General features: G+C 37.3%; 1 protein-coding gene and 1 long non-coding RNA gene across 4 annotated transcripts in view, besides 3 other annotated features; one reads left to right on the plus strand and one right to left on the minus strand.

Moving 5' to 3' along the window:
• The window catches only part of GIPC2 (GIPC PDZ domain containing family member 2), a 93,475-nt gene extending 81,004 nt beyond the window's left edge, over positions 1-12,471 (plus strand). For all 3 annotated transcript variants that reach the window (NM_001304725.2, XM_047423230.1, NM_017655.6), the window contains exon 6: positions 9,619-12,471. In NM_001304725.2, the coding sequence (NP_001291654.1) occupies positions 9,619-9,770 (152 nt within the window). In that variant the 3' untranslated portion in view covers positions 9,771-12,471. The remainder of the gene's footprint in view (positions 1-9,618) is intronic.
• Positions 7-20,626, minus strand: LOC107984997 (uncharacterized). The gene is made up of 3 exons (XR_001738110.3): positions 17,368-20,626; positions 9,076-9,208; positions 7-962 (listed from the first exon to the last, which is right to left on the minus strand). It is a non-coding gene; the product is annotated as an uncharacterized LOC107984997 (long non-coding RNA).
• Positions 15,869-15,928: an enhancer, noted in NCBI's record as "active region_1231". NCBI's record gives its function as "activates an Ori minimal core promoter by ATAC-STARR-seq in GM12878 lymphoblastoid cells {active_cell/tissue: GM12878}" and the evidence as "EXISTENCE:reporter gene assay evidence [ECO:0000049][PMID:35858748]".
• Positions 16,099-16,148: an enhancer, noted in NCBI's record as "active region_1232". NCBI's record gives its function as "activates an Ori minimal core promoter by ATAC-STARR-seq in GM12878 lymphoblastoid cells {active_cell/tissue: GM12878}" and the evidence as "EXISTENCE:reporter gene assay evidence [ECO:0000049][PMID:35858748]".
• Positions 17,445-17,614: an enhancer, noted in NCBI's record as "active region_1233". NCBI's record gives its function as "activates an Ori minimal core promoter by ATAC-STARR-seq in GM12878 lymphoblastoid cells {active_cell/tissue: GM12878}" and the evidence as "EXISTENCE:reporter gene assay evidence [ECO:0000049][PMID:35858748]".
• Positions 20,627-22,988: the final 2,362 nt, after the last annotated feature.

The raw sequence follows: 22,988 nt of genomic DNA on the forward strand, positions 1-22,988 counted from the left end.
CTATTTAAAAAAGTCTTATATCTCTTAATCTGCTTAATGTTTATGTCTTGTTTATACATACAGCCAATTATACTTTTGAAGATAACAATATTTGTGGTATGATGAAAAGAATAACAGACATAAAGATAAGAATAATGAAGACCTGTTCCTTACCGCTTTCTAGCTATGAGGTCTTAGTGCCAAGTAAACTTTAAAACATTTTAGTTAGTTCTTAGTCATTAAACTGTGACTACTATCTCCTTTAGTGTTGTTTGTTTGGATTTAAAAAATATACATAAAATGAATTTTGTAGATGATACATATAAAAGGCATTATTATTTGATATATCAGAAGTGCATTGATTGAATTGCACCCTTTAACAGGGTTACTGAAGCCCTATGAACAAGGAATTAGAAATATGAAGAAAGGGGACACACTTGGCATATGACTGAGAAGGGCAGTTGAGCAGTTGAATTTCTGCGTATTTCTTATGTCATCATTAGGCTGTCAGGGTCTTGTTTATCAGTTAAGACTCTACCAGTTGCAAATGACTAAAACAAAAACCAAACAAAAAACCCTAATTCCAGCTGGCTTAAGGAAAAAAAAAAAGGAGAAACTTATTGGTTCTTATAATTGAAAAGTCTAGCGCTAGACCTTGGCTTCAAGAATGGCTGGATCCCAAGTTCTCATGCTGTCATCAGGATATGATTTCTCTTCTCTCAGTCTTGGCTTCATTTCAGGCCCCTGTGGTATCCCCTGGCAGCTTCAGTCTCTCCCTCATGGGGCCAAAATGACTGCTATTGCTCCACCCTCTGCATCCTCGTGGCATCAAGCACAATGAGAAAGAGGGAGGACCTCTTCCAAATCATTCAAACAAAATGCCCAATATTGTCGCTGGTTGGTCTGATTGGCTCAAGTGAGCCAGTCACTGAGGCCAAGAGGATGGTAGGTCTGGGTTGAACGCTCTGGAACTGACAGTGACCCTGAAATACAAGGGTCAAGAGTGTGAAAAAGGCCTGACCCTTCCCATGCAGAAGCAAGATAAATGTTCCACTAAGTAGGGCAGTTGCATGCTGGGTAGAGAAAAGAGAGTAAATGTACACTCCAGTGTGGGGGTTTATGTCTGCATGCATCCACAGGTATGCATTTGAATCAGGTACTTTCTACATTTTTTAAAGGTAAGAACTTGACTATTTTGTTTATCTGCTACCAGGTAGAGTATTTGAAGCTCATTTATCCTTTTCTACTTCCACTCATATTCCATTTTCCTTATAGAATTACCAAAAGACAAAACAAATTTACCTTAAAAATCTCAACTGGCTTTTATTTGCAACTCTAGTATCAGGCAACACCTCAAAATGAGTGCTCTGATGAGCTGAGCAGAGGAGGTTGACTTTAGAGTCAGAAAATGGCTGAAGAAATCAGAAACATAACAAAAAGTGGGTTCCTGTTGCAAGGTTACTTTCTTCGTAAAGGTGAAAACAGAGGGAATTTCCTTATCATGCCAGCTAAAACTGGCCCATTTGGGGATTTGGCTATTACCTGTCTTTCTCCTGATTTTGTGGAAGGTCAGATAAACAACTTAGTTTGGCTTAGTGAGTGGAACTTCAGCATGAGTAACTCCATTTTGGTTTGGTCTGTTAGGCCTAGTATAGGAGCTCAGTCCAAACCAATCACCTCCTATAAATTTTATTTAACAATCTATTCTTATTTTCTTTCTTGCCTGTGTGAACTTTTATTTATCTTCTAATTTTTGAGACAGGATCTCACTCTGTCACCCAGGCTGGAGTGCAGTGGCACAATCATAGCTCACTGCAGCCTTGATGTCCTGGTCCCAAGCACTTCCCCTACCTCAGCCTCCCACGTAGCTAGGACCACAGGTGTGTGCCTCCATACCCAGCTATTTATTTTATTTTACTTTAACAAATTTTTTTTGGTAGAGATGGGGTCTTGCTATGTTGCTCAGGCTCAAGTGATCCCCCTGTCTCGTCTGTCAAAGTGCAGGGAGAGATTACAGGTGTGAGCCATCATTGCCAGCCCTGAGAACTTTTAAAATAAAATTTCTGTACTGGATATAGAGATGCTGTCTGCAACTTAAAAACATTGGTAGTTTGTTCCTTGCTCCTTGGAGAAAAATACAAAATTTTCGTGTGGATGCTTTTATCCTCTGTGCAGACAAGAAGTTAAAGCTGAAAACCAATGTCTGAGAACTTCTCTTTCCAATCCTTTTGCCTGGCTAATTTTTTTAATTTTAATTTTTGTAGAGCTGGGGTCTACTTGTGTTACCTAAGCTGGTCCTGAACTCCTGGGCTCAAGCCATCCTCTTGCCTTGGCCTCCCAAAGTGTTGGAATTACTGGCATTGAGCCGCTAAGCCCAGCCTCAGTCTCCTGTTTTGAAATTGCAGATCTCAAGGAACAATAGAATCCATGCTGTGGTCTGGAGTGAATCACAGACACAGGGCCTAGGAAAAGATCTAACTAGGAATAAAGACAGACATACACATAAACATGAATACTTTTAGACATATAAGGAAATATGTAACATATAAATAGAGGCATCAACGTGTACATAAATCAAATTTAGAATAGAAATGTTTATTCGTACAACAGTCTAGACTGTGGGCCATTCTTTAGTGGTATTTTTCCATACAGGAGGGAAGCAAATGTATATATGTGTACATGAATTTTTACATATACATACACACATACGCATAGATGTATTTATGCTCACATACAGTGAAAGAGATATGATATAGTATTGCTTACAGGCATACATATTTGGCTTGAGGCCCTAACCCTAACCCTAACCCTAACCCTAACCCTAAAAGAGACCAGCCTGGGCAACATAGTGAGATGAGACCCTGTCTCTACTAAAAAAACAAAAACAAAACAAAACAAAAAAATTAGCCAGGCATGGTGGCATGCACCTGAAGTCCTAGCCACTTGAGAGTCTGAGGCAGGAGGATCGCTTGAGTCCAAGAGTTTGAAGCTGCAGTGAGCTAGGATGGCGCCACTGCACTTTAGACTGGACAATAGAGTGAGACCCTGTCTCTAAAAATAAATAAATAAATAAATAAATGAAAAAAAAAAGAAGAAAATGCAGCTTAAAAAAAGGAAATTCAGGGCACTAAACATTCCTTACAAATTCTTTGTAAATTAACCAGAAATTTATTTGTAAGGTGAATTAGTTATCTGTAACAAATTCCTCTAATTGACATGAAAAGCCATTATCATTACACATGATTAGCAATGTAATCAGTTACCTAGAGAGGTAAAGTGTAAGGAAAGTAATTATTTGAAGAATGTAAGCCATTGTTAAATTAGGAATTTCTTTCATTATTCAGATCTGATTAGCATGAAATATAAATCACAAGTGTGATACTGATTTAACAGACAAATATATTTACTTGTATAAATATTCTCAGTATTTCTTAGCTTTCAGAAATGTTAATTCTTAATGCAAATTACACTGACATCACATTTTTCTGTATTTGTTAACGTAAGTATATATCTTAAAAATTTAAAAAGTAATATGGCAACAACGTGACTTAAAACACTATCCTCAAAAAAAGATTAAGAGGTGTTTATTATTTGAAAATGGAAAATAATTTAAATGAATTTTTGTAGAGAGTAATCCTGAAGATGAAAGTGCTTCATTTGATTGTAAAGTTAAGTTGTGAACGATGACTTTTCTACCAGCCAGTGTCAACATGGGTCACCTTGGGATGTTATCCATGAAAAAAATTAAGCGTTCTAAAAGATGCTGAGTCCTATAAGACCTCACATGGTCTTGACCTAACTCAGTGGAAAGTTGTGTCATACAAGTTTCTTCTTGAATGTTTAAAGAAACTGTGTAAGTTGTGTATAGAACTATAATGTTTTCTGATGATACCAATTTAGGAGATCATCCAAGCAACTTCAGAATTTTAGGGTTTCAAATTTATTGAGATCCTGAGATGTGTGGAAAGAAGATTTGAATGATTGTTTCAAAGTCATTTATTCTATAAAATCTTTTCTTTTTTTTTTCTTTTTAAAAATTTTACTACTTTGCTTTTGGAGCAGATATGAAGTCTGTTATAGCTCTTGAAAAAGTATGCAGTAATGGTGTTTTAATAGTGAGAATTACATTTCTTCCTTTCTTCCTAGGATCACTTTTTTTTTTTTTTTTTCAGACAGAGTCTTGCTCTGTCACCCAGGCTGGAGTGCAGTGGCACAATCTCGCTCACTGCAACCCCCGCCTCCCGGGTTCAAGCGATTCTCCTGCCTCAGCCTCCTGAGCAGCTGGGATTATAGGCGCCCACCACCATGGCCAGCTAATTTTTTGTATTTTTAGTAGAGATGGGGTTTCACCATGTTGACCAGGCTGGTCCCGAACTCCTGACCTTGTGATCCACCTGCCTTGGCCTCCCAAAGTGCTAGGATTACAGGCATGAGCTACCATGCCGGGCCAGATCACTTTCTTTTTATAGTGAATTCAAAACAATGAACACTATAGAAAGTCATCCTTTTCAGATAAAGCCAATGAAGTTTTAGAAATTTTCATTAAAAATCATTCTACATTGACTGCATTTTTGATGTTTGACTTGTGAATTGTTTGAAAAGCATTGATATTTATAAAAAGTCTTAGGAAAAGTAAGGCCTGAAGACCTTCCATAGAATGAGACGTAGTTGCATATTTTATGATTAAACTAGCAATAATGATGACTAATCTTCAAACCCTGCTATTTGCCATTTTATAGATTTGAAAACTGACATTCAGAGAAGTTTGATAACTTGCCCAAAGTTACCTAAGAAGTTAAAAACTAAGATTTAATTCTGAAACTTTGATACCAAGATTTTTAACCGTAAAGATTTTTAACCGTAAATATCTTATATTTAAAAGTTCTGTTTAAGTGTTTAAAAAGTTAATGGAAATTATATGTTGATCTGTATCACCAAAACAAGTTTGTCATTAATAATAATGTAAATGTAGTCCAGTGGCAGTAATAAAAATGGCCACTAGAGGTCAGCACTTAGCTGCTATATGTGGTAAAAAAAAATTCTCTTTACAGTTAAGAAAATTCTTTTTGAGATGGGGTCTCACTATGTTGCCCAGGCTGATCTCAAAATCCTGGACTCAAGCAGTCTCCCTACATCACCCTCCCAAGTAGCAGGGATTACAGGTTAAACATTTACTATTTTTTAAATCTATTTTTTTCTTTTTTTCTCATGTGTTTCTAAACATTATACTGTAAGAAAATTCTACTTTTTTTTCTTTTTTCTTTTTCTTTTTGAGACAGAGTCTTGCTCTGTCGCCCAGGCTGGAGTGCAGTGTGGCGCGATCTCGGCTCACTGCAAGCTCCGCCTCCTGGGTTCACGCCGTTCTCCTGCCTCAGCCTCCCGAGTAGCTGGGACCACAGGCGCTTGCCACCACGACCAGCTAATTTTTTGTATTTTTAGTAGAGATGGGGTTTCACCGTGTTAGCCAGGATGGTCTCGATCTCCTGATCTCGTGATCCACCCGCCTCGGCCTCCCAAAGAAAATTCTACTCTTCTAATGGAATATTTTTTGCCAGATTGCATTCAGGTTTATTATTGCAGTATATTGTAATTTTATTATAATCAACAGATGAAAATAATCTTAGTGGCTATCTTATGTTAATATGCTGTACCTTTATAAAAAGTGTTTTATTTTGCTAAATTTTCTTTTGCTTTTCTCTTAAATCAGAGCTATAATATTTTATCAAAAAGGATGAATTTTACCATTTACTTATCCTGTAAAGATGTCTTAAAAGCTATGTTCACCAAACCCAGCTGAGGATGAGAAATAAAATAAAAAAGCGATGTTTATACTTTATGTATTAGGAAAAATATATAACATATTTAGCTGCATGCTGCATTTTTGAATTCATATAGCAAATTACTGGTTTTTAAAAGATGTATAGAGCACTGTATTACATGCAGTATTTCCAGCACAATTATGTAGCTGTGTAATTGGCATTTTTTTGTTGTTTCTACAAGATCAGGTATTTTTTGAAGGCAGATACCATATCTTGCTCAGTTTTAATCCCAGCTCTTACCACAGTACCTCTCCAAGAGTAAGTACTTGATAAATGTCTGTTGAGAGTCACAAAAGTAGTGAATTCACAGGGAGCATGAGTCCTAATTTTATTAGTTTGGAGCTTTGGCCCTTGGGCAAATTATTAAACTTAGAATCCTAATTTTCACATCTATAAAAGGGACATAATAAAAATAATCTTATAGGGTTGCCAAGGAATCAAATAATCTGTATAAAGTCCTGTCACATCATAAATAATAATGGGTGTAGGTATTATCATTCTTAGTGATGATCACTAATGATGATTACTATTAGTAGTTGTAATGGCAGTGGTAATAGAGGGAGAACATGTGGAGCTGTATAACTAGACTGTATCAGCAGCTCTGGGCAGTACTGAGTGTGGGGGTTTTTCTTCACTTTTCTGCTGTGCCAGAATGAGTGCATGAGCGAGATTATGCATTTTGGACTGTGAGGTTAGACTATGGGCATCTTGAAGCAGCATTTTCTTTCATTTTTGTGACTAGAAACCCAAAGCAGACATTGCAAGTCAGTGCAGGTGAAATCTACAACATGGAGTTCCCGGGCTTAGTGCACTAGACAATGCTGCTGAGCTTCCTGAGGTATAAAAAAAAAATCATGTACCAAGTTGTTTCTTTTTCCCTCTTATAGCCAAGGATGTGTGTGTGTGTGTGTGTGTGTGTGTGTGTGTAGAGAGAGAAATTGATTCAGTGTCCATCAGTGAACATCTGCATCCTTGTCATTGTCTCCCCCAGCATTTAAGAGTGTCATCTATACTGTTAGTTTCTGTTTCTGAATGGTCCGTACATTTTCTTATGTCTTTTATCTGTATGCATCTTATTTCTTCCTCAGCTAGCTTTCTTAACATGTGTTACCCATATGTCATTATAATCTTTAGGTAGTTGTCTTAATAAATGCTACCTGTAAAGCCTATGAGAAAGAGTTAAAATGGTAGAGTAAGCAAAATTCTGAACTGGAGTTCTACTTCAGCAGTACTTCACCTTAACATTCTGGCTACTCTTCTTTTACATCCTGGCTATGAGACCAGAGTTCTGGACTTCACTTTCCCCAGTGCATGCTAACTGTGCCTGTGCAAAAAGTATGTAAGTGTAATTACACACCCTCCTCTTGCACCACCCATTCACTAGCATTTATTATGCATGAGACACTGAATTAGTTACTACGGGCATAAAAGACTGAGTAAGCTACTCAAGATCTGTTGGGAGTTTATTCTTTTAGTAGGAGAGAAAAAAATACACAGAAAAATAAATGTCAGTGCAGAGCAATGTTGAATTTGCAGTCTAAGACCTTTTTATTGAAAGTGTTTCCTGAGGACCAGCATCACCTGGGAGTTGAAAATGCAGAATCTCAGGGCTGCAGAACTACTGAACCAAAATCTCCATTTTGCCAAGATCCTAGGTGATTTGTTTGTGCATTTAAGCATGAAAAACACTGGCAGAAGGGTTTAGAGAATGGGGATATCTCTTCCAGCTGTGGACAAAGGATTTCATGGAGGAGAGAGCCTTGAAGGAGAGAAGGATTTTGATGGTGGTGCTGGTGGCTAGGAGGAGGTTATCCTGGGCAAAGGCAGAAAGCAGCGAAGATAGCATTTTGAGTGGTCAGATTTATGAGGGTACAGCATTAATGTAGTGTAGTGTAGTGAGAACCAAGGGTTCTGTAGATTAGACTGCCACTAGGGTTTAGTTTTAAAGATAAACATTGGTTACACAAGGAAAAAAAAATTGTGTGTGTGTGTGTGTGTGTGTGTGTGTGTGTGTGTGTATGTATGTATTATGGATTCATGGCTTCCTGTTCTATTCACTGGAGTTATAATATATTACCATCATTACTTATTTGGATATTTAAATTATCCCTGATTTGGTCAGTGTGAACTCTTGCACTCTGACATCTATATCCTTTTCACATGTTCCCATCATTTTGTGACACTTTCTTACTTTCTGGTACAAGATAGTCTTGGTTCATATTGCACTTTGCCTGCTCTAGCCCTGGAATCTGCCATTTTTCTGAGGAAGTCTTAGTCTTTCTAATGGAGAATGGTATTTAAGAACCAAGATTTCGGTGCTTTGTGTACTCATTGTAGTTGGGATGTCATGCTTCCAGGACTGAGGAATGTGTATACACATGCATGTATGCATTTATGTCTGTATTTTTATAACACCTCAATTGGAGATATATATATATTTCCAGTGATATCTACAATTCTAATTCCATAGGGTTCATTCTTATTTTCTCCCTTTCCCTATTTATCCTTTTCTGGCAGTGACAAACTTGATTCCTGTTGTTCTGTATGTATGTGTCTGTGTATGTGTGTATGTATGTGTGTGTGTGTGTGTGTATGTATGTGTGTGTGTATGTATGTGATCCATCTCCATATGTGTAACTAATCTCTTATCACCGTGGCTGCTGCCCTCCCTCCCCATTCCCATGCCATCCTCACCACATCTGTACTCTCCCACCCCATGCCAGGCTGCCTGGCCATATAGAAGCCCTCCTTACCTTACTAGAGGTTTGATCCCTCTACTAGTTCACTGCACCCCCACCCTACTTCTGCTCTGATCCTGGTGCTCTTCTGTAGGCCACATCTCTCCCTTTTCTTCCTAGCCTGCCTTGTGTTAGGACTGAACTGATGGGAAGAGGCATAGCTTTTATCTCTCTAGACCTTGTGGCTCGTTCAGAGAAGTCATACAAACTTGGATTAGTTCATCCTTAACCTGGAAGGAAAGGAGATGCTGGAGCTTTTCCCTGGGGCTTTGGCGTTTCCCTTTCACATGGAGGTTTTTCACCCAAGTCCCACATCACATATACACCATCTCTTTCTGGTTGCTGGTGCTTCTAGGGTGCTGAGTGGAAATCCACTGAGCCTCTTGGGCTCCCAGACAGCTGGGGCAAGTCCTAAGTACTCCTGAAGATGCTGGTTCCAAGACATAGAATATGGAACCCAGGCAACTTAGTAGAAAAACTGAACAAGGCCGCCACTTTCATGTTCTATCCCAAACTGGAGAGGGGCTCAGAAAAGGTACCTTGATTCCACAGGTAGACAGATGTCTTCCTCTGCTTCTCCCCAGCTTGACTGCTCCAGTGCAAGCTGTCATCCTTTGTCTTTTTGTCTTTGGGCAGGGAGGACTGGACTCCATCTCAGTTGGCAGTGGGGGACTGGTGGAGGAGGGAGGGAGAGTAGTGACTATTAGGAGGTTGGGGAAGGGGTGTTCTTTAAGTTTCCTGCTAGGGTTAGTCACAGCCACAGGGTTTCTTTCAGGGGATCTTGTTCTACCCATGGGAATGCCAGAGGTTCCCAACTGATGGGCTCCAAGGTTGGGTAGGGGGCAAGGGTGGCAGCTGCAAACCTGGGTTCAGTGGACACATTGTTGAAAAGTATCTTTGCCACCTTGATGTGTGTGTGTGAGAGAGGGTATCTTACTGTTTTAATTTGCATTTAATTTTGCATTTAATTTGAAATATATTTATGCATGTTACTTTTAGCAAGTAATTTTCCTGTTGCCATTTTTCTCAGTCCTTTGATGCTATTTCATTTATTGTTAATTTTTTAATATTATTTTTGATAGCCACCACAATGTTTGAAGCTGGAAAGGACAAAGTAAATCCAGATGAATTTGCTGTGGCACTTGACGAAACTCTTGGAGACTTTGCGTTCCCAGACGAATTTGTCTTTGATGTTTGGGGAGTCATTGGTGATGCCAAACGAAGAGGATTATGATGTGTACACTCCATCTCTGAAGAAACAACCCATCGTTCTTTTTTTTCTCTTTTTTAAAAAGTCCTATAAGATCTGTTTTTGGACACCTTTACTAACTCTGGTTTAATTTCATGTGTATGGAATATATTCTTTGAAATATAATTTTGGTAATTTTGATTTCTGGGCACTTTTTAACATTGCTGATGTAGTATGCTTAAGAGAAATGACCTAAATAAGGATCAATTGTAATATTCATTCAAAAGGTTTTTAAAAGTAAGTTTTAAGGAGTATTTCTCGACAGATGATTTTCTTCTCCATTAATACCCATGCTTTGTTTTTCACATATAAATAGATGATTTCAATAGCTTTGTAGTTTTTTTTCAAAATCTTAATGTAAACTAGGATTGGAGTATGATTTACCTCATAGTATCTTCACTGTGTTATCCTAGTTTGAACAGGATATGTTCAGGAAATGAAAGGTGAATTATGCCCCTTATTGGTCTAGAAGCATTGGTTTTTTTTTGATCCTCTGAGTAAGGGAAGGAAGATTCCTGTGGCATGTTGATTTCTATGGCCAACTTTCTCTCTTTGTAAAACAAAGATTGATTGATTTTCTTGTATGCTTCTTTATACATGCTCTTAAAACTTGTGGTTGAAATCTGTGCTGTGTGTGTGTGTCTCTGCATGTGTAAAAGAAGGGTAAAAAAGAGATGGGTAGGGTAGAACTACTTGCATTTGATTTTTTTTTCAGTCCTTAAAACATTATTTCTTTTTTTCACTCATAGCCACTTTTATGTTACCTTTTATAAGCACTCCAGGGAAGATTTTATATTTTTTTGTAGAGTTTTTGGAAAGATATTTACTCAAAATAACTATGCTTTAGAACTTTTTTTTTTTTTTTTTTTTTGGTTAAACAGCAGCACTTTTTAGTTCCCTAAACTTTAGAAGAAATGCTATCAGAAATAGATTTCCTTCCAGTGGAAAGAAAGGAGGAAGGGAGAATTGAGAAAATATATTAGTCTATTATTTTAGAGTTCTAATACACTCTAAATTAAAGAGAAAATTGAGAGTAAATGACTGTCTTATCACTCTTATTTGACATTTCGTAGGTGTAAGAGAAATGGAAATGAATGGTTTCAACAAAGATCATTTAATACAGCAGAGCATGGCATGACCAAGCATCTTTGTAAAGTGTTAGATGGAAAATGCTGTGTGCTGCCATGGTAATCAGAAATAATAACCTGTTAGGGATGTATTCTAGGAAATCAGAAGTAGTTCTCTTTTCTTGCTGGATTATTGCTTAGATAACTCTTGTTTTCTGGTAAAACTTTAGTTGTATTGCCATCCACTCCTTTTTCAAATGAGTTTAATGCCATAAAGCTGATATTCTTTGTCCGATTAATTTGAAATCTGCACAGAAGCTGTTTTAGTCATTAATGTGTAACAAAAGTAGCTTATAGAATATGGACTGCCTTATTGCTGTTGCTTATCATTTGAAAATAAAATCCAGCTCAGGTTGTAACTTGTTGGTACTCGTTTAGTGAGTTCGTTTTGGAGGTTCTGAAATACCTATTAATTCTTAATATTACCTCTCTTGGAAAGACACAAAAAAAGAGCTGTTATTTTTAGGCATAAGATGACTTAGGAGGCCCATAGAAACATTCTCGTTTAAACAACAACAACAAAATAAATTTATCAGCACTAGATATTAGATTTGAAATAAGTCATTGTTCATTATTGATGGTTGTCAGTTTCTCCTTCCTTTTTGGGCATGCATAAAGACACACTTGGTGCTGATTCCATGTGATTTATGGAATGTCATTTTCACAATGATCTTTCTAGAATTTGTGTGTAAGGTTGTGATATCCATGTACAGCTGTAACTATATATACTTGTCTGTTAGCATTCAGTGGACCATTATCATTACTATCATCACATTACCTGGGCTTCAACTGGGCCCAAGTACTCTATATACTGCCTGTAATAGGTTTTTCCTTGAAATATCCTTATCTTTCACCTCTACAGCTAAACTGATAACAAGGTCAGTTTCTTTATGTCATTTTATTCCCATACCTAAAATTGCATCTATTTGTGAGCTTTCTGCCTTTTTGTAACGCTCAGTGCACCAAAAGCGTCTGTTTTTAGTGCAGTCACATAATATATAAGTGTGGGATACCCTTCTGCAGCTTCAGTGAGACAAATCACTTTTTAAAAAACATTCCATTTTATTGGCATCACTAGATGTTTTTAGGACCCTGTCCTTTTCACTTTTCTGTAGGCTTTTTTTTTTTAAATGGAAGATGATTATTTTGTTTGTTCTTGATTTCCTGTTATTGAAAACAGCATCTTCCTTCTTGCAATGGCCACTAATAGCACACAATGCGTTTTCTTTGATTGTAGCAGAAAATGCAAATGATAATTGTATGTTGGGCTCGATGAGGCCTTGAACATAGCTGAGTCCTAATCAGATGTATATACTCTGATGATTACAAATAGGTACATGTTGGGTTTCTGTGATGTTTCAAAAATACAATTATATAATTATGATGTAAACTCTTTAAGAATTCAATTATAAAAGCAATAATCAGGTAACCTCTATTTGGAGCTGCTACATCCAATATTGTGACTGAAAATTAACTAAAGAGAGATAATTTTTCAAATGATGTATAATTTGCAATATTTTCCCTTGCAACTTTAGCAAATACACATATTCCAAGTAAAACTTTATTTAGTCCCATGTTATTTATTTGTTTATTATTGACAGGGTCTCACTCTGTTGCCCAAGTGGGAGTGCAGGGGTACACATATTCCAAGTAAAACTTTATTTAGTCCCATGTTATTTATTTGTTTATTATTGACAGGGTCTCACTCTGTTGCCCAAGTGGGAGTGCAGGGGTTTGATCATGGCTCACTGCAGCCTTGACCTACCCAGGCTCATGTGATCCTCCCACCTCAGCCTCTCAAGAGCTGGGACTATAGATGTGCACCACCATGTCCAGCTAATTTTTGTACTTTTGTAGAGATGGGGTTTTGCCATGTTGCCCAGGCTGGTTTCAAACTCTTGGGCTCAAGAAGTCTTCCCGCCTTGGCCTCCCAAAGGGATTACAAGCACGAGCCACTGCACCAGGCCAGTCCCATGTTATTTATTGCTAGACCTTTATCACTTCTAGAGACTCCCTGGTCTCCTTCAATTATTGCCTGTCTAACGTAGTAGCAAAATGGAGTTTTCAACGTAATGGTTCTTCTAAAAAGAGTACAGTTATCAACCAAAGATGTAAAAGATTGATCATATAATGGCCCTTTTGCTCTGTGATATATCTAAATATATATGGATACCAATAACATTGCCATTACTCTGGTGGAGATACTAGGTTAGAAGGACAGTTAAGTGTTTTACCCAAGCTATTAGTGAATAGAGACACAAGAGATGCTATTCAACTCACAGTTCCAAGTATTAGTGCCCTGTATAAAATGCACATTTATTATCTTCTTGACACAGATTGAAGGAGATAAAGTAATTACAAGTTCTTACACATGTCATGGTGATAAAATATTTCTAAAATTGTGAAGTGTACAAAATGGTACAGCCTGTCCCTACCCTATTACCTGAAAACCTAGTTCTAAGAAATGACTCATGGTTATTATCTGCTAGGAGTGTGAAAATTGAATGTGACATCTTTAATTCAGTTGGATACAGTCTTCATAAGACTTAAGTATAACCATAGATATTTTTCAAGCAGTAACAGAAAGGAGAAATTTGAAAAAACTTCTTAAAGGTAATTTTGAGTCAATATTTAATGTTTTGAACTGTTTGTGCCATGCAATAGTATTGACTATGCAGATAAAACATTCTATTTTTGTGGGAAAAAAAGGTTTTTCTTTTTTTGATGAAAATCATTACTTAAACTTTAAAAACTTTTGAGATTGAAATTTGAGAGTCTCTTAATATATGAAAGTGTAAATTATATTTTGGAACCATTCTAAAATGTATTGTTTACTATATTTATATTAATAGATGTACAGATTTAGTCATATGTTGATCAAAAAGTGAATTATTTGTAAAGCTATTTTATATATATATATATGGTTTTTTTTTTTTTTTTGAGACGGAGTTTCACTCTTGTTGCCCAGGCTGGAGTGCAGTGGTGCCTTCTTGGCTCACTGCAACCTCCGCCTCCAGGGTTCAAGCAATTCTCCTGCCTCAGCCTCCCGAGCAGCTGGGATTACAGGCACCTCCCACCATATATTTAAAATATGACTCCTTAAAATAAGTACTTTTTCATGAAAAAACTGATGACTATTTTCATCATAAATAGAGTTAGAGTTTTAATAATTTTAGACTCTTTAATATTGTTTAAATAAATGATAAGGATAACACATGTGATTGTTCAGGCCTTTATGGTTTTAACATATCTTTGGTATATTTTTTCTTAACATATTTTATAGAAGGTATAACCTCTAAGTTCTATTTAAAATCCCCAAATTATTTGCCGTGATTCAGTAAAGATGCATAGATAAGCACTGCCATAATACTGTTAATATAAAATAGTCATAAGCTGTTTGTATTATAAGATGGAGGTTTACCCAGGGTGACACTTTATCCTTTGTTCCTTCATTCAACAAGTATTGTGGGAGTAGTTTCCGAACAATAGTGTAAGTCGATAAGTAGAAGAAATGTCAACCTATAGTTGTTAGGCAGTATGCCTTTGGGATTTATTATCTTCATTGATACAGTTTGAAAGGCCTATTAGAGCTGTTGGAAATCCTTGCAAATACTATGCTAATTCCATATGTTAAGGGGGGCCCAGCAATCTGCATTTTGACATGTCCTCCAGGTGATCCTAATGGAGGTGAATCCTAGACCTTTACTTTGAGGTCTCTGAAGGCCCTGACGTAGCACTACAGTGAGAAGATAGACATGACTTCAAGAACTTATGATCTGTCAAGGTAAGCAGAGACATGAAGAGATTTCTAATACAATCAGATAAGTGCTAACATGGACTATAAGGTAGTATGACAAAACGCTGCCTATGACAGTAGGATAGCTCTTAATTTTACAAAGTAGCCAATTTTCTAAATATAACTTGGTATGCTGGAATAATTGGTTACCTTAGTGAAATAGACTTCTTGATTGACACACTATGGATTAATCCATATGATGGTTTTGCCTCGGTTTATATGCAGTGTTTGATGCTTACCAACGATACAAATAAATATTAGCTATTTACTTACCCTTGTAAGGTATTTTATCCTCTTATAGTTTTGCAGACGAGGATCTTCTGAAACAATGGTTTTCAAAGAACATTTCTGCTTTTCGTGGAATGGAATTGCTATGCACGATAAGAAGACTGGCCTCTCTCAAAGACAGCAAGTGCTATGGTTTTGATTATGCAAAAGCTAAGCTTATAAAAATGCTACTTTAATTCTCCTTGTCTAGATTTTCTTTTAGCCAGCATCCCTTCATGTATGAGGTAGGGTACTGAACACAATTTATGCTTTATCTTATATGTCATCTGAAAAATAATGTTTCTGATTTTTAAAAATTACAGATTCAGTGAATTAATTTAGCCTTGGAAAGTGGTTTCCCTAAAAGTTAGAATTTCTACCCCCTTGTGGTTTAGATAGGTTATTATATACATAGTTTGATTAGTTTTAATTCTTAACAACTATTCAGTGAAAAGTAAATGGAAATATACAAATGAAATAAACCAAATACTTTCTTTCCCATAAAGCAAAACATGACCTCTTCTGCAGTAGCACTGGAGAAAAATGCGGAAATAAAATTCTGCAAATTCGGGGAATGGTGGAAGAATGCTGTGATATTTGAGAGAAGGTCCATGGGCACCTCGTAGCCATCTTCTGGCAACATCCCTCCTTTCTTACTCTTTTCTTTGCTGGCTCTCTTCTTCTTTATTCAGCCTCCCTCCATGGAGGCTCCTCAGGTGTCTGACCTGGGTTCCTTTCCCCCACCCCACCCTCTTTTCTTAGGTGACTCATTTATTCCCATGGCTTTTAACATCTTTATGTTTATGACTCCAAAGTACATATCCACAGTCCAGACCTCTCCTCTGAGCTCGGAACTCAATTCCACTTCTTCCTTGACATCTCCACTTGGTGTCTTGAAACTTTAGCATGTCCAGGATAACACTTTAGATTTTTCTTAAAAGTTTTGTTTCTTTCAGTTTTCTCTGACAGGAAATGGCATCAGAATTCCCCTCACTGCTCCTTCACCTGCTGCACCAAATGCATCAGCAAGTTCTTTTCATTGTATCTCCAAACTACTTCCCCAATATGGCCCTTCTTCTCGGTTTCACTGTCACATCTTCACATCTCTGGGCTGCTGCTCCTTCTTCAGCTCCTGCCCTCCTCCATTTTGGACTGTGAAAATGCTATGGCAGGACATGAGGGTGAAGCTTTTTTTTTCCCTAAGTGAGAATGTAAATGTCTCATTTCTTTCTTCTCTGGAAGGGCTTGATATTAAGCCCCTCTGTCTCTGAGGGAAGAGACACTTGTTTTTGGATGATTCATCTTCTGCCACTGTAGGGCCCACAGAGTCTACTGTGAGAAAGCTGGAAGGACAGAGGAGGCAAAAGGAAGAACTTTCACAGGTGTAGACTAAAGGCTATAAAGAATGTGTGTGTGTGTGTGTGTGTGTGTGTGTGTGTGTGTGTGTGTGTGTGTGTTTAGGATGGGGAGAGTGATGCCTTTAGACATTCAAATAGAAGAAGACTGGTCCTTGATTTTTCATACGCATATTGTGGCCACATGGAGCGTTTAGACAGGAACAAAAGTCTTCAAAAGATCCTGATCTTTCAGCATGGCACAGATCAGGAGGAGTTTTTTTTATAGTGACCACAGCGAGGTGTGGGGTGGGAACACTGGAAGGGTTCTTGGAAACAGAAACAATAGGATGGAGATATACATACAGCTCCAAACAGAAACAGTAGGATGGAGATACACACACACACACACACACACACACACACACACACACACACGTATATATATATAGATGTACATATAGATATACACACACATCTCCACATATATACCTACACAAAGACAAATATATAGATATGAACATTATAGGAATTGGTTCACATGGTTATAGAGGCTAAGTCCTCGAAAGTCTGTTATCGACAGCCCCGAGAACCAGGAAAGCTGGTGGTGTAATTCAATGTGAGTCCTAAAGCCTGAGAACAAAGGTGAGGATTTTGCTTGTCAGCAGCCTTGCCTGTTACTGTCCAGCTGGAGTGTCACCCCATCAGCCTAGACTTTTTTGGCTTATATCTGTGGATGCCCCACTCCCAGCCTCTTTATTTGCGATGACATGACCTAACACATGTAAGACTTAGAAAAAGAGAGGTGGTTCCCTGGACACCTGGTGGAATGGTGGGGAAGCCTTTGTGCCTGCACTTGGGAGGCTGACCTAAAACTAGCATGAGAACCCTGTCTAGGATATGAGAGAATGATCCTTTCTGCTACACATTAATGGGATCACATCCCTCCTCTTCAGGCTTCTTTAGTGGCCTCTACGGCCCTGTCCACCCCATTGCCATGCTCCCCCTAGCTCTATGCCCTGGTCACATTGAACTTCCTTTCACTTTCAATATCTTACCTTTCTCAGAGCTTTTTTACTTGCTGTTTTCTCTGCCGTGAACACCCTTCCTCTTTTTGCATGGCCAGGTCCTTGTCTTCCTTTGGCTATTAGCTTAAATGCCACTTCTTTGGAGAAGGCTTTCTTGGTCTTCTTCCTTCCCTTGTTCTCTGTGTTCTCGATTTCAGCCCTTGTTTGTTTCCATCATAACACATCGCTGTTTGTAATTATTGTATTAGTAGGCTTTCTATGCTATTCTCTACTTGAATATCATTCAGGATGAGATCGTTTCTGTCTTTCTCACTGTTGTAGCTGCAGCAATTAGCATGGAGCCTGGTGTATATTGAAAATTAAAAAAAAATTGTTGATGAGGAACTTCAAATATTTGTTGAATGCTTACTGAGTGCCCAGCACAGGAAACGGATCACCTCACCTCATCTTTACCAATCCTTGAAGTAGGTAATGATTACCCCCACTTTAAAAATGAAAAAACAGGCCCAGAGAAATTAAATTATTTGCTCTAGGGCACATATTTGGTTAGTGGCAAAGACAGGATTTGAACCTGGTTTTAAGTCCTGGATTCTCTCCAAAGTTGATTCTGTTAATATTTTACCAGAACAATGTAAATTGTACTAGTCACTTGACTAAGAAAGTTGAGTAGGGGATTAAAGCCTGGAGACCAAAGTTATAGATTCAATTAACTGCTCTCTACAGCCTGAGTAAGGGAATAGCTTCACAGCGGTCAGGCCAACACGAAGTAGATTTAAATGGTTATGTGATGGATTTTAGGTTGGAAATCATATGCTCAAGGACTTTAGTGATTCTTTAGGTTTGAAAATATTAATATTAGTAATTATTGTCTGGAACTTTTTAAAATCCTGTGATCACTGGCATAATAAATTCTTACTAGTATGACTTAAGGAAAAAGATTAAGACAAGAAAGGTTCTGACCATTTCTTGGAGAATGAGGATGAGGGCTGGCCTTAGAATCCTTCCAAGCTTCTTCTGGTTAAGGTGATTTCATGGTTTAATTGATTTGACTTGGACAGTGGGTATTTTGCTTTCTGGAGTCATTATTGTTTATGTTTCAGAAAAGGATGATTTCTCTGTTCTTTAGGCTTTTTTATGACAGTATGAAAGAAAATTTTAAGAAGTAGCAGCTTGTTATCAAATACTTTGTGTGCCATTTACCATTTGAAAATGGAATTAGCATTTGAGGTTTCATGGACCATGGAAAGTTATTAACTTCTTATAAAATTCTGAGGATATTTAAGTTCTGAGAAATGAATTGGGAAGTTATATTGCTTCAGAAGCCCACTTCTGGACTAAAACTCTAATTTGTATGCCGAAGGAGTGAGTTTGTAGAGATGATTCTAAATTCCCTTAATATATTTGCTACTCAATGCTTTCCTATACATAAAGTCAGTCAATTTCAACATATTAACTTGTGCGTTAATGAATAAGGAATACTCATGAGGCTTCCCTCAATATTGAACTCAGACTGTAACTGTGTTGATTTAAAAAATGAAATCAATCATGTTCCTTTCCAGAGAATCAAATATTCATTTGTAATGGGGACATCCTTATTGAATTCCAATTTGAATGAGGTCCAGGGAAATTCTGAAATAGGAAGATAGACTGAAATAGAGACAGTGGCATTTTAAAGAGGGCTCATTCTGAAATCCTATGGAATGTGTCTGTGGTTCTCCTTTTCGACTTTTTTGATAAACATAATCACTTTGGTTTATTCTTTTAAAATTAAGTAGCTATATTCCAGAAAGGTTATTGCAGATGATCTGATGTTTATTTCACTAATTAGAAGGAGATTTTGCACTGTGTCACAACACCAAATGGCCTAGTATGGCTGAAGTTAATTCACTAGGCTATTTCTTTTTTCTACCTTGGCTGACCAGTAGGTGGCATTGCCTGCCCTGGCTGCCACTTCAAGTCTTCTGTCCGCTTGGGAACCTGAATAGCCAGTCAAGCATTTGTTATCTTCTTGTATCCATTCTGATTTGTCCAATCTGATTTTTGAATTCATTTGTGATCCTGCTAAGGATCGCCCCTTGACAACTAAAGTGTCTTTGACACCCAGATAGCTTCTTTTTCAAATCTTGGGGATTATAATCATGTAGTCCCAGAGGGTATTCAGAGTGAATGACTAATTCTACCTAACCAACCAAGGTTCCTCTAGACCTGAGAGGTGAAGAAATGACTGAGTGCTGCAGTGCTTCAGAGGTGATTATGGTTAATATTCTGTGAAAGTTACAGATGACTTCATACCAAGCATAAAATTAAATAGGTACATTAATAACTTTAAAACCTTATTCATGACTTTAAAACTTTTAAATGAGATTCAAGCAAACAGTTGTGAATTAAATTGTCCTTTGCTTGAATAAATAAAGTTGAACTTCTTTGCATTTAGTAATCAATATTAGATGATAAATCATATCACAAAAGCCTTTATTTTGTTGAGATAAAATTATGGCCAGACATCGACTCATAAGATGACTATTTTGGCAGCTCTCAGTTGAACTAACTTTTTCTTCTTTCTGATGTTTTTCAGATTCAAGTAAATTACTAACACTTTTGAGCTATAACACTGTGTATCCCTTTACTTATTGTATATTAGCTCTATTATCATCTGCTCTTACTTGGGAGACTCATTAGCTATAGTTAAATGACATTTGTTAGAAACAAGAATTTTAAAAGTTAGAACCATAATGTTGTCTAAAAATCATAAAAATATAAAACTTCTTCCTAATTGACCATATTTACCAGTTCTTGATCTAGGGACTGTATGAATGACTTCGTGCTGCTGTATGAGGTAGAGTTGCCTGTAAGAGAAGAAACTGAATCACTGATCAGTACCCTCAAGTTAGAATGTTTTCTCTGAGCTTTATAACTGGATGTGGCATATTAGAGGATTACAGGGAATAGCAGAGACATAAAAGCAAAGGGGAAGTTGAAAGGAATCAGTGGCTTCTAGAGCATTTCCCTTCACTGCACCTACTGAAAAGCCCTGTTGTAACCATTGATCTTACTTTAAATGTCTGAATTCTTCATATTACTTTGATAATAAGGATTTCATAATTTCCGGAGCTTAGTAATTGGTTCCAGGAGTAGCACAGACAATTAGGTGGTGAATGTCAGACACTAAATTTTTGTTAGATTTATTAACATAGCAGATTTGTGGCTCATTTTTACACTACTGTTTGTTTTCTCTGTCCACAGTGTTTTATTAGGTATGGCATGTTCCTCCTAATTGGAACCAAATATCCCAACCAAACATCAGAAATGGATTTTAGTAGCCTGTGAGAAATCATCTTCTCCTAATGGACAGTCACAGGGGGTTATCTATGTGCCTCATTTTCTATGGATCTGGAGAATTATGACTCATCTCTTTGAAGCCACAAAAAATCTCCACTTTGGGCATCAGTCTCATTGCCGTTGAGAGAGTATGCTTCTTTTGATGATCTTGGGACCTCTTATTGTTTCTGGGCCCGATATATGGAATTGTATAAAAACCATCCTATTAGTCAGGATTCAATGGCAGAGAACAGAATCTGCCCTGTTTTAAGCAGGAAGGGATTTAGTATAGTTTATATTAAACAAACCCCCGTAATTATTAGTAGGACTCAAGAGAAGACGCTAAGCTGAGAAGACAGACACTAGGATGAATTCCCAAAGCCTTACTCCCCAGGTGGGCTACTGAAGGAGCTGCTGCTCTGATCAGGAAGCTTCTCCTGCTGAAGTGGTACCAACTCTGGGACCACCACCAGTTCTGCCCTGTCTGCACGAGCACAGGCAATGCCTCATACCTGATCTTTCTCACAATTAACTCACTTCTGAAGTCAAGTCTTGAGTGCGTGTGACTGACAGAACTTTAATCCTATCCAGAACACATAGCTGCAAGGAAATCTGGGAAAGGTAAGCTTTAGGTTTTTGGCCATGATCGTGTAAGGCTAACACGAGGAGACTGGATTAGATGGTGAGCACGCCAATCCACATTTTTTTTTTTTTTTTGCCATTACCAGTAGTCTGTATTTAAGTCAGACCAACTCAAACTTACTTTCCAAATTGGTAAAAATCTATTCATCCAGACTTTCTTTTTTGGCATGATGGATAGTAACCAGATAGCCAGAACATATTTATATAGGTTGGTAAACTATTTGTTCTTTAAATGCTGCTATGCTTCTCCTTTTAAATAAAATCAGTACTTTAGTGAATAAGAAATAGCTAACATCTCTTGTTGAGGCATATGTGAAAGTGGTGAAGGTAACTATTGGACACAGGATAAAACAGTACCACCCAAGCAGACACCATTGCCTTAAGACAATGTCATCTATATTAGAGGATTTTATTCTTGAAGACATGAAGTAAACGTGAACATCAAAGATTAATTGTTTTGGTGACTATAGCCTTAAGTATAGTTTGAAATCAGGTAGTGTGATGCCTCCAGATTTGTTCTTTTTGCTTAGTCTATCTTTGGCTATGTGGGCTCTTTTTTGGTTCCATATGAATTTTAGAATTGTTTTTTCTAATTCTGTGAAAAATGATGGTGGTATTTTGATGGGGGTTGTGTTGAATTTATAGATTGCTTTTGGCAGTATGGTCATTTTTCACAATATTGATTCTACCCATCCATGAGCATGGAATGTGTTTCCATTTGTTTGTGTCATCTTTGATTTGTTTCAGCAGTGTTTTGTTGTTTTCCTTGTAGAGAGGTCTTTCACCTCCTTGGTTAGGTATATTCCTAAGTATTTTATTTTTATTTTTTTTGCAGCTATTTTGTAAAAGGGGATGAGTTCTTGATTTGATTCTCTGCTTGGTTGCTGTTGTTGTATAGAAGCATGGTACTGGTATAAAAATAGGCACATAGACTGATGGAACAGAAGAGAGAACCTAGAAATAAACCCAAATACTTACAGCCAACTGATCTTTGACAAAGCAAACAAAAACATAAAAGTGGGGAAAGGACACTCTTTTCAACAAATGGTGCTGGGATAATTGGCTAGCCACATGTAGGAGAATGAAACTGGATCCTTATCTCTCACCATAATCAACTCAAGATGGATTAAGGACTTAAATCTAAGACCTAAAACTATAAAAATTATAGAAGATAACATCGGAAAAACCCTTCTAGATATTGGCTTAGGCAAGGATTTCATGCCCAAGAACCCAAGAACAAATGCAGTAAAAACAAAGATAAATAGTTGGGACTTAATTAAAAGAAAGAGCTTTTGCATGGCAAAAAGAACAGTCAGCAGAGTAAACAGACAACCTACAGAGTGGGAGAAAATCTTCACAATCTATGTATCTGACAAAGGACTAATATCCAGAATCTACAACAAACTCAAATCAGTAAGAAAAAAACAATCCCATCAAAAAGTGGGCTGAGGACATGAATAGACAGTTCTCAAAAGAAGATATACAAATGGCCAACAAACATATGAAAAAATGCTCAACATCACTAATGATCAGGGAAATACAAATCAAAACCACAATGTGATACCACCTTACTCCTGCAAGAATGGCCATAATCAAAAAATAAATAAAAACGGTAGACGTTGGTGTGGATGCGGTGATCAGGGAACACTTCTACACTGCTGGTGGGAATATAAACTAGTACAGCCACTATG

Source organism: Homo sapiens, chromosome 1 (genome assembly GCF_000001405.40).
Source record: "Homo sapiens chromosome 1, GRCh38.p14 Primary Assembly".
Taxonomy (NCBI): Eukaryota; Metazoa; Chordata; class Mammalia; order Primates; family Hominidae; genus Homo; species Homo sapiens.